This window comes from Homo sapiens, chromosome 1 (assembly GCF_000001405.40).
Source record: "Homo sapiens chromosome 1, GRCh38.p14 Primary Assembly".
Lineage (NCBI taxonomy): Eukaryota > Metazoa > Chordata > Mammalia > Primates > Hominidae > Homo > Homo sapiens.
Genome location: NC_000001.11, coordinates 23,278,495 through 23,291,105, shown reverse-complemented (window position 1 = coordinate 23,291,105; position 12,611 = coordinate 23,278,495). Strand labels below are relative to the sequence as shown.

General features: G+C 36.2%; 1 long non-coding RNA gene across 1 annotated transcript; it reads left to right on the top strand.

The window, feature by feature from the left end:
- Positions 1-5,587: 5,587 nt before the first annotated feature.
- LINC01355 (long intergenic non-protein coding RNA 1355) lies at positions 5,588-9,797 on the top strand. The gene is made up of 2 exons (NR_110616.1): positions 5,588-5,996; positions 6,696-9,797. It is a non-coding gene; the product is annotated as a long intergenic non-protein coding RNA 1355 (long non-coding RNA).
- Positions 9,798-12,611: the final 2,814 nt, after the last annotated feature.

Below are 12,611 nucleotides of genomic sequence, written 5' to 3'. Positions count from 1 at the left end.
GACGGAGTCTGTTAGACGTGCCTTCTTATGGTGTTTATGCCTTAGCTGTCTCTTCCTGAGGAAATGTATGAATAAGAAAGGCTTCTTGATATTTTGACCTTAGACTTGATATCTAATGCAACACCCTTCCTCCCCCATTTATAGGAATAGTACTCATTCATTGAGTACTATTATATGCCAGACACACGACGCTAGGTGGTTTGTATTATCTTTATATCCACAATAACCTTGATTTAGGTAGTAGTATCCCTGTTTTACTGTGAGAAAACTGAGGCCCAGAAAGGTTAAGTGATAATTGTATGGCTAGTTTGTGATAACTATAGATACTACAACTAAAAATTTACCTTTCTGGTTCTTTTTTTTCATTCTTACCTTTCTCTAGCAATACATATTTAGCTCTTTAGAGCTAGTTACAATATATTTTTTATGTTAGACTTACTGTGTGGGGAGTTTTGAATTTAAAAACTAAAAAAAAAAAACACCAGAAGGTTTATTCTAAAGGTTTAAATTTTTAAAATTTAATCTGCTGTTGTGTGCTTCTGTTACCCCTGACCTTAGTTAGCATTGCAGGATACTTTCTTTTCCATATTTTGTGATTGATATATGTGTGATTCTTTGTATGTACAAAAGCTTGAGCTTGAGTTTTTTAGAGGAAAGGAATAAAATAAATTAAGTTGGTTGAATTAAGTATGTCTTGGTGGATTTGGTTATCCCCACAGCAAACTTGAGCATTCAGTTTACCCATGATTAAGGGTGCTGATACTATATTTAAGGGCGTTCTGCCTTCCATCTCTTTTCTAATATCAATAGTATTAATTGATGCCAGGCAAGAGGAGTGCTGCCATATTTGGGTCAGCTACTTCGTCAAGAGTATTTTGCAGAATGTACCTGAAGCTATTCTGAAAGTTAAATATCATTAGATACATTGTCAAACCCTGAAGCTGAAATTCCAGCCATTCAGGGAGCCCCTCAGGGAGATCACTGCTTTTCCCTTGCAAAAATAAAAATAGTGTATAAAATACTATTTAAATATATACTCTTATCTAATTCTAATAGCTAGTATTTGTTAAGTGCTTAGTAAGTGCCAAGTGCTGTTCAAATTGCTTTTTAGGCTCACACCTGTATAATCCCAGCACTTTCTGAGGCCAAGGTGAGAGGACTGCCATCTTGAAATTTTTTTTTTAAAGTACTTTTTAGGTGTTCTTTAAAATAATAATTCCACTTTACAGATGAAGACACTGAGGTGCAGGGAGGTTTAATTCACCTTTTTTTTTTTTTTCAAGTTTACAGCAAGTATTTAGTCATTGAGCTATCATTCAAATCATAATAACTAGTCTTTACAAAATAGAGCCCCAAAGTGCTATAGATAAAAGGTTTTCATTTTGCTTTGCTTTTTAACTTTGGTGTTGTCTCTTTTCCTTTCTTTCTTCTCCCCTCATCTTCTCTCTACCCTATGGTCTGTTTTGGATTTTTCTCGTTATATATAAGCTTTAACTTTTGCTTTTCTTCTTTTTTTCTCCCCCTTTCTTTTTGAATGGTTTTAGCATCCTTGGGCGCAGAAAACTCTGGAAATGTATTCATAAGTTTAGAAATTATATAAGACACTTCAGAATGATAATACTTAATTATTTTAGAAATTTCCATTTTGAATTATATTGTTTAGGGGGAGGGCTATTAAAGTGTTCTCTGCCAATTTATGATACATTTTAGATTTCCCAGTTTTTTTCTGGATATCTGTCAGGAGATGGTGTAGAGGTTTGGTAAGTAATACAGTTTGATTTTGTATGTCTCAAGGGTTACTCATTCAGTCACATATTTGAGTTTATTTTATTCTGGCCTTTTTCCCCTCTGGGGATTCTATTTATAGTATTAATTGAAAATCTTTATGTTAATGCTAATTTTGATTTTTTTTTCCACTAGCATGTATTGGAGCACTCAGGCTTGAAGAAGGACATAGGTAAAAAGTATAAAATGGAACATTTTCTAACATTAGGGTTGTGAAAATTTTCTTATTGTTTAGTTGCATACTTGGCATGTTCAATCTGAAAAAAAATTGTTTATGAAACAATTTAAATGATATTGTTTAAGCCAAAACAGTTACTTATATTTCATTTCTCTTTTATTTTTATAAATAGAGCATCAATTCCCTTAATCACAAAGGTCAAGAAAGGTTATCTCATGTTACATTAGGACATACTTAGGACTTCGTAGTATTTCCCTTCTGTGTGAAATTTTATCCAGAAGACTTGAATTACTTAATCGTAAAGTGAATAGCAAACGTGAATCTAAAACATGGTTTCAGTTTTTCAGAATCAGGCCTGCTTTGTCCCTAAATGCTTTCTTATTTCCCCAGAGCCCTTATTGGATTTAAGCCCCATATCATATCTCACATACCTGAGACAGACATACCACAGTGAACCCTGCATGTCCTTGTAAGTTCTTTTCCGTGCCTAGAAGTTGCAGAAGACCAAGGAACCTTGGAAGTGACTTACTCTTTTGCTTCATAAAGTTGCTTTAAAACAGCCTTTATTTTAATTATTAACAAGGTATGTCACACATTTTTAAATTTTAAGGTTAATTTAGTCATTAATTCTGTCAAACAAGTGTTCTTTGGAAACTAGTTGTCTTCAATGTCTTTTACTTGGAGTTACTTGAAGTTTGCTTAAACTTTATTCACTTGGAGTAGAACTTCCTAGTTAAATGATTGAAAAGGACTAGTTCTGCAAAATCTATGAGAACAAGAGCTTCTGCAAATGCATAATATAAATTCTCTTCCTTTTTTTTTTAAACTGTATTTTTACAAACCTAGATCTCTTCCTGCTTTGATTTGTCTTTATCATATCTTTCAGAACAAACCTTTGATGGAATTCTAGGAAAGGTTGAGATTAAGAATATATTAAAAATATTCCACTTTGTACATTCTGTTTATATTATAGTAAACTAAGTTATTTAGCAAGATAAAATTAGGAATTTCACCCAAGGTATCAATCAGATGGAACCATTAGTCCACTGAAGAATTTACTTTTTAAAAAAGTTAGTGGAGGAAAGGAGAAGATGCTGCTTAAGAGTAATCAGAAATAAAGATGGTAAGCATCATATGGTAAATATATACAAGTTTCGTCAATTTTGTAAAAAAAAAATACAAAGATGGTAAGGCATCTTTGAAATTGTTGTCAGTAGGAAATTTCATCTGATATATATATATATAAATTTGTTTCATAAAGCAAGGAGAAATGGTGTAAATAATACAAGTGTGGCTATTGACATATGAAAATGTCCATTTATTTTGAAAGTGACTACCCCCACAGATTATATAACTGTAGAATCGAATACAAATTTTCTCACTTTTCTTCCTTGCTTTGGCATTTTTTTAAAAGTTACTTGAAAGTTCAGTTTAGATTGAAAAATAAGGGCCTGATTAATAGCGCTGTATCATGGTATTAGAGTACATATGTTAGTATTTTCATGAAAGAGGAAGAGGGTAATAACTGATTTACCTATGATTAAAAGATAGTGGTGACATTTTCCTTTGAAAGTTTGGGCTAGAAATTTATAACCTTTGGCCAATGAAACTACAGTAGCTTCAGTCACTGCTTCCATGCCACATCTCTACCTAAAGGGAAGATGGAATCCGCCTTCTCTTTTTTTTTTTTTTTTTTTTTTCTGAGACTGAATCTCACTCTGTCGCCCGGGCTAGAGTGCAGTGGCATAATCTTGGCTCACTGCAACTTCCACCTTTCAGGTTCAAGCAGTTCTCCTGCCTCAGCTTCCTGAGTAGCTGGGACTACAGGTGCCTGCCACCACACCTGGCTGATTTTTGTCTTTTTGGTAGAGATGGGGTTTCACTGCGTTGGTCACGCTGGTCTCGAACTTTTGACCTCAGGTCATCCACCCGTCTCAGCCTCCCAAAGTTCTGGGAGTACAGGCGTGAGCCACCATGCCCAGCCTGAATCCCCCTTCTCAAAAGTAACTTCCATTCACTTTGTCCCTGGCAGTCTGCTGGTGACCATGATTTCTAAGGCTCACTCATGGGACCAAAGGCAAGAAGAAAGGGAGGAGGGTGGTAACCAGATAAACTTTGCAACCCCTTTGATAGGACTTTTTGGGTGAGAATTTTTATGAAAAGTAATATATACTTCTACTATAGATCTGCCTCTAGTTTCAACCTCTAGTTTTAGCACTGATTTTTTCCCCTTAATTTCCAGAAGCATGATATAATATCTTTTTCAAAGAAAGTGGGAAGAATGTCCACAGATGTTAGGAGAAGACAATTATGTAGGAAAAATATTTTCTCAAATTAAAATTTAAAACAAAAGTTTGCAGGGAATGGAGTGGGGTTCAGCATTAGGGAGGTAGGAGATGATAAAAATACATATTAAGTAATTTGTACCCTGATATGCTTTGTATGTAGATTGCTTACAACTAACATGAAATGAGCATTTCATTCCTTAAGCATGCTGTTGGGGGAAAATGGGAGCCAGGCTGGATGCACAAATTTACACCAGATGCTCTGTATCCAGGTAGCAGAAATGACTAACAGCACTGGTATCCATCAGTCCCAGAGCAAAAGCGTCTCCAGAGGAGGACATCTGTAAATCCCAAATCTGATCTCCTTCATCATCATTAGGCAACAGATAGGATAAGACTTCATGAAGAGAATTTTGGTGGCTTTAGATTGTTGAGAAAGTATATATAGGAAAAAACTGGAAATTATGTCCAAGATTTTTTGTCTAACTCCTTATCCTGATATTGTTAACATTTCACAACTAAAATAATTTTAACAGACAATTAGTTTTTAAAAATGTATTTTCATGACCTGAGACTACAGAAATTGCCATTTTCTTAGGACGTAGTTTACATTTGACTCTGCTTACTGTGTCCAGGGCATCCCCAAATTGGGAGAGATTGCCAAGTCAGTTGCCATTTTGCCTTACTTTTACCAAGGACTAGCCTACAGGTTCAGTTTTGCTCTTGACTTTGGCCCTGAATTGAGAACTGAGTCAAGAGAACAGAGTGGAAGTATGGAGACAAAGCCAGCAGCTTTACTCAAAAAATATATATGAGTCTAGTATTTTTTTTGTTTTTGAAAGACATGTTACTGAGCCCAACCCAGTCAGGGATCACTGAATATTGGGTTAAATAAAACAATAATGTTATTCATGTGTTTGAAATTAATGTTTTAAAGAACCACGCACACACTTTAAAATGTAACTGGATTTGCTATATAGGCCAGAGAAATATGGCTGTTACGATGAAGGCGTAACTTCTCTGGTTCTTGATTATTTACACCATTAGAGAAGAATGCAAATATGAATAGCTCAGAGTAGTTTAACTTTGAAGTGAGAGTTTATATGCACCTTTATATGTGGGATAACTGATGTCTTTGGAATAGACTTCAAATGAATGATAAAAACACCTGTAAAGTGATAGGACCTCTACTTTTTCTCATGTCCAATGTTCAGTTTCTTATAAACCAGGCATGAAGAGAAACAAAAAGTAATTAATTCTCCAGATCATGAAGTTGTCTTCAACCTAAGCACAGAGGTATAATAATTACATTTCTCAGAAGTTCCCCCTCTGTTTTGAGTCTCAAGGGCAATTGAGATGTCAGTGAGGCTGTGATTAAATGTATTGGATATTAGAGGATTTTAAATACAAACAAGTATTATAGGTGTTACCACTGACCCCGAAGGTAAGATTTACTGTGAAAATTTATAATGCAAGGAAGAATGATCAAGTTGGCTGTCAGAACAACAAAATATTACAAACCAGGATGTCTAAGAGCAGAAGTCCGTGGTTGCCACCTCTCAAGCCTCTTAGCTTAATCCAATCTAGGATGCATTTCCACTCTGCAACAAACAGTATTTATTTTTGCCTTATTTGCAGATAACAGTTTTAATGCAGGTACTGCCCATGGATTAGCTTTGAGCAGTGTCTTTTTGCTTTGGTTTTTTTATTTGTTTGGTTTGTTTTGAGACTGAGTCTCAGTCCTCCAGGCTGGAGTGCAGTGGTGTGACTTTGGCTCACTGCAACCTCTGCCTCCCGGGTTCAAGCGAGTCTCCTGCCTCAGCCTCCCAAGTAGCTGAGTCTACAGGCGTGAGCCACCATCCCCGGCCAAGCAGTATCTTTTTGCTTTGAAAGTGACTTACATGTACATTTGTTTTCCTTGTGAATGTTTCTTTTTAACTGCAAACTAAGAAACATTGAGCCCAGCATTCATATATTTGCAAACTCTGTCTTACTTAATTTCTCAGTTTTTTTCCTCAGAAAAAATGAAATTCCTTTTCTTTTTTAAATTTATTTTTTCTTTATTTTTCTTTATAAAGTGAAGAGTAGGTAGCATGAATTCCTCTTGCCCTTTGCTATTTCAGTCTGGCATCAGTAGCAATTGTTGCTATGTCCAGTTTTCATTCATGGATTTTTCTGGGATTGAAGATGAGTTCAATGTTGATTATTTAATTGGGCAGTATAAGTAAATTCATTGGCTCTCCTTCCAGTTTAGTGAATACTAAATATCATCCATGATATTTTATACTTCTTACACTTCTGGAATCTAACCTGAAAATAGAAGTTGTAAGTCAGGGACGGTGGTATGTGCCTCTAGTCTCAGCTAGTTGGGAGGCTGAGGCTTGAGCCCAGGCCTTCAAGGCTGTAGTGCACAATGACTGTACTTGTGAATAGCCACTGCACTCCAGCCTGGGCAACATAGCAAGACTCCCACCCCTTAAGAAAAAAGAAGAGAGAAAAAAATAGAAGTTGTGGAGAGGGAGGAGGATGCTTGAATACTTTGACCGTACTTGGCATAATAGACATTTTGAGGGTTTTTTTGTTTTCTTAAAATTCCTCTGGATCAGTTTTCATTGTTTCTAGTAATTATATTTATCGTTAATGAATTCATATTCTGCTCTAGCCCCTAAAGATAGTTTGATATGCTAACTTTTGTTTTGCCTTTCTAGCTGCTAAGATAGATAATGGTTATTGCAAAATGCACGTTTTTAAATGGTCTCCAGTGTGGATTGCTTCTGAGCTGCTGATGGATTGAATACATTGAGAAGGAATGTGTCATTTGGAATCCAGGACCAGTCAGCAAGGATAACTGCCTGATTTTATGGTCAGAATGCTCTAACTCTTATGGCATACTGATGACTTTTTCTTCCATTTTCCAAAAAAGCAAGTTTTGTCAGTCTCAGTGTTTCTCTGATCTAGCTACTCACAATTCCATTCCCAAAGTAGTGACCTAGTTCTGTCACTTGGGTTTCAAAGGGAGTTGAAGTGTCACTGAGTGAGTACAGCAAACCTGTTTAATGATTTATAGGAAGCAAATAAAAAGAATTTTGTTTGCTAACCTAGAAGTATATCAGATTTTGGTTTCAATTTATAATTTTGCAAAATATAAAGACATTTCCTGGCTAACTCCATCCAGATGAATTATTCAGTATTTTTTCTCCTATCTTAATGAAGTTAATTTGAATGCTAATTTCCTATAACCAAGAAAACAGTTGAATTAAATAACCCTTATCTTTTAAACTTAAAGCTTATACTACTAATAATCATTTAACATTCACTTCCTTTTTTCTGACTTAATTGGTAGGTAAATAAAATACTTCAAATTTGATTGGCAAATTGGAAAATCACTTAGAACAATCTGCTAGTATTTTTTATTCCCTTTGTTTTTTCCTTTACACATTTGTACTGCAAAATAAATCAAGGACAAAGACTCACACTGAATTGATCAACTTGTGTTTGGTCTTCATGGGAATTACATCTTTTTTCCCCTCAACATTTATTAAAGGAACATACAGAATTTCAGACTATAGCAAACTAATACCTTTAGCTTGACTAAGAGTTGATTTTCGTTAAGGAACAGAACTTGTAATTTATTTCGACATACTTTAATGTATGACTCATCCCTGTTAAAGTTGTGAGACTCAAAACTACGCCCAAATCACTTAATTTTATGTCCTTCCCTGTTTACTGTGTCTGACCTTCAAGATTTCGTGACTGATGCTGAAATGGAAGCCAACCACTGCAGAAATTTGGGGGAAAATGAGATCTGAAGAATACAAGGGGAAGTAGGAATTCATTTCTAGCATTTCCAAACCTGCTTAATCGTGTCTGCTCCACCACAGTCAGAGGAAAAGACTGAGTTCATGGAAATTACCAGCTAAGCCTTACATCTGTCTTTAATGTTTTTAGGAAGTATACTGAAAAGGTAAGTGAGATGTCTGTTTTGAAGAAAGACTCTTACTGGGTACCTTAAAACCCGTTGTTTCCTATTAGTAAAGATGGGCAGCTTCTTTATTCCTAGCTTCAAAAAGCCTTGCCCCTGTTTGGTGTGTTTCTCAGTATTGTGGAGAAGGTAGTTTCTGAGCAAGGTGGTGCTTTTCCTCTGCTTCTCAGCAGCTAAGACAGAAATTGCACCGAAGTGTACAAAGGGCCAATTTTTGTTGTCCTGTTGTGCTCAAATCCTTTTTTTTAAAAAAGTTATTTCAATCAAGTCTTAGTTTTATTCCTCACTATATAGGAAAAAAATCTTTAATGCCTCAAAAGTTCCATTCAGCATTACATTTGCATTACTCTTATTTGCAGCAAATATGAGTAAAATTATAGGTTTTTAAAGGTCTCTAATAACATCCACTTATATTGGTTTTGTAGATAATCCATAAATTACCAGAAATAAATTATTCCACATTTATTACACACCCATGTAATAGATGTCGTGCCAGGCCCTGGAATATACTAATGGCATCACCTCATGTGGTAAAAAGACACATTCCGCCATCCTGGAGTATACAAAGGTAGACTAGCATATAGTTCATGTGCTCAAGGAGTTCATTTTTATTGACATGATACAGATAGAATTGTAGTTTAGGGAATCAAAATCTAATAAAATGAGGCTAATTCCATTTTCCCATTAACACTAATAACTAGTGTGTAAATCTGAATATGACACATTCTATATGAAAGAAGCTCTGTGTGCATCTACACTAAATACTCGTGTGTGCCAGGTACTGTTTTAAACTACGTATATTTTTTTAATTCTCATAACTGTTCTCTGAGGTATGTACTAATACTAAAGCTTATTGTTAAAGGAAGGCAGAAAAATTAAGTAACTTGGCCTAAGTTTGCATAACTGTGATCTGGGATCAATATTTGAACCCATACAGGCTGATTGCAGAGCCTGCACTCTTAATTTGAGTGTGATATTTATGTGCAGTACCTGGCTATAAGTACCCACAAAACGTTTCAAATTCTTTATAAAATTTGCTTAGTTAAAAAAGTACCAATTGCATAATATGGTTATAAGTCTGGTAGAAGTTAGGCTTTTTACAAGACATGCTGCTTACTGCACCAAGGAGGCAAGAAGGCTTTTTAGAGAGCCCAGAATTTCCTTTCCTCAACTCCTGCTTCCAAGACAGTCATTTTGCATGATAACCGTTTCCCCAAAAAACACAGACACAAAATTTAAAGAACTGGAACAGAGGAAGCAGAGCTTATCATAGTATATATGTTTAGTACCCTGTCACTTAGGTCCACCCCTCTTTCTTTGTGGATTGTGGACATTTTGTTTAACTGCTAAATCATGAGAATATATGACTGCTGAGACTTTTCCAAGGATTTTTTAAAAAACACATTAGGCTTTGTGCAGAAGTAAAGAAAAAGTGCTGTGAGAACCCCAGGTAGGTAATTTACTTTCTATTGTACTCATAGTTTGTTTGAAACCTCTTCACCTCTATCCCTTATTGTTTTATACTCTGTAAATCTGATTTTACCTTTAATAAACTTTTCTGAAGTGAGTGAGTTTTTTTTGTCTTATTTCCCATTAGATTCTCTACCTTCTTTGTTCACTTTACGTATGTTATTGCCACTCCCTTCAAAACTGGTGGTTTAATTAAAGTGACAGCATCTTCTATATACCCAGTACTGTTGAGGATTAAAAAATACATGTGTGCCGGATGTGGTGGCACACACCTATAATCCTAGCACTTTGGGAGGCCTCAGGCAGGAGGATTGCTTGAGCTAAGGAGTTCGAGACCAGCCTGGTCAACGTGGCAAAACCCCATCTCTACTAAAAAGACAGAAAGTTAACTGGGCCTGATGTTGTGCACCTCTCACCCCAGCTACTTGGGAGGCTGAGAGGTGGGAGGGTCACTTGATCCTGGGAGGTCAACGCTGCAGTGAGCTGAGAACAAGCCACTGCACTCCAGCCTGGGCGACAAAGCGAGACCCTGTCTCAATAGAAAAAAGAAAAAGTGCCAAGGCTTTGCTCCTAGTTCGGTGCAGGTTCCAACCAGTACTAAAACTTTGCAAATTTTTGAGGGAAAAACCAGAAGTTGTAGAATCAATATGAGCATTTAATTGTATAGCAAGCAATTGTGGCAGAAAAAATTCACCCTAGTGAAATCAAGTTAACTATTCTGTGAATGAGATTAACCAGAGGAACAATTTTGACCATGTATCTTTTAAATCACTGTTTCTCAAACTTCAGTGTGTATGGGAATCACCAGGGATCTTGTTAAAATGCAGATTTTGATTTAGTAGGTCTGGGGTCAACCTGGAGAATTTGAATTTATTTTCTCTTTTTTTAAAAGTAGTTTGAAATATATTTCACATACCATAAAATTCACTCTTTAAAACTGTCCAATTAACTGTTTTTTAGCATGTAGAGTTGTTCCACTATCACCATTCTAATTTCAGGACATTTTCACCGTGCTGAAAAAGAAACCTTGTACCTATCACTCCCCATCCCCCTCTCCCTTCCACCCTTTTCCCCTCCACCAGCATCTGGCAACTGTTAATCCACTTTCTGCCTTAATTTATATCTTCTGGACATTTCATAACGTTTTATAGACTTCTGTACCTGGCGTCTTTCACTTAGTGTTCAAGGTTCATCGATGTTGTAGCATGTATCAGTACTTCATTCCTTTTTGTGGCTGAATAATACTCCATTGTATGGCTATAGCACGTTTTCTGTGTCCCTGCATCAGTTTCCATTTTTTGGCTATTATGAATAATACAGCTATGAACATTTATGTACAAGATTTTGTGTGAAAGTATGTTTTCATTTCTGTTGGGAATATACCTAGGAGTGGAATTATTGGGTCATATGGTAACTAACATTTTAAAGAACCGGGAAACTATTTTCTAAGGTGGCTGGACCATTTGAGAGTGCATTCCTGACAAGCATCCAGGTGATACTGAATAGCAGGCTCTAGATTACATTTTGACATCTATCAAGAAAACAGGAACATGAACTTTAACTGAGTTCAGCTGCCAAAATCTGGCCAGCAGCAAAGAAGGTGGGGTGGTTTTGGTTTTCATAGGGCCTTGGTACCTCCGATTTTCTACCATTAGTCTTAATGTACCTGGGCTTATTGTTCTAGCCTTCGAACTCTTCATGTAAATTGATATATCTGCTATCTAAAAAAGAAAGAATATTCATTTTTAGTTGAAAGAGGCATTTCTAAGATGAGAATGGCCATACTGTCAGTGTGGTAACACTGTTTTTGATAGTGTCCTGAAAGCATGTTGATCCTTTCTAGGTGCCATCAGAGAAGGAAGGGTATGCTGGTGGAGCATGCACACAAATGATTTAATACATTGTAGTGCATGTTGGGATAGAGCAAAGGAGGGCAGATTCAAGGAAGACTTCCAGGAGACGAGTCCTGAACTCAATCTCTTAATTCATTCAACTAAGATTTAATGTAGGAGATCTAGATTCTGTGGGGGTTCAGATGAGGTAGGGATTACTTCTGTTTTATATGAGGTAGGATGACAATGGGGGTAGGTGGTAGTAGAAATTAGAATATTTCTTTGGGATGATACTTGAAGTAAGCCAGGATTTTAGATACAGAGGTATATGAGAAGGGTGTGTTCTAAGATGATAAAGCAGAAGGAACTAAAATACAGAAGTCAAATGGCACGACGTATACCAGCTGTATTTACTGAAATATGCCTAGAGGTGCTGTGTTAAGCCTCAGGTACACAAAAACATAAAACATGACCCTGCCTTCATAATTAGAACTCAAGTGAGATGTTTGAAGTGTAATACAATGTGATTTGTATGAAAAATCACATTGTGTGTGTGGTAGGAGGTATAGATTAGTTTTTAAGAAGGCGTAATTTTCTTGACTGGTGGTTGGTTCTGTTTGGTTTGACTCATGGGTGCCTGAAATAAAAGGAGTAGGAAATACAGATGTAAAGGTAAGTTGGGCTGTTATTTACTGTTGTTTACTTTGGCAGAAATGGTCTAAAAAACTAAGCATGTGACGAGTAATGAGAGGGGAGCAGCAGGAGTCTGAGTTTGGGTTCCTTTTCTTCCATTAGTTCCTGTGTGACTCTCCCTTGTGATCATTGATCTTTACTGGAGGTACAGAGTACCTGGTCTGGTCCTCAGTTTTAAGAAAATGAATTACCTAGTATACTCCAAGGCCCAACTTCTGTACCCCATAGTTGGAAATTGTCAGCTTTCCTACAAAGATTGATTTATGAGCTGCTCTTTAAAGCAACTTCTTATAACATTTTCAACCTTTTGACTGTTCACAATTAAGAGTCCTTCAATCTTTTCCCATCCCAATAGATGAAATGGCAAGACAAAATTTCCATGAGTT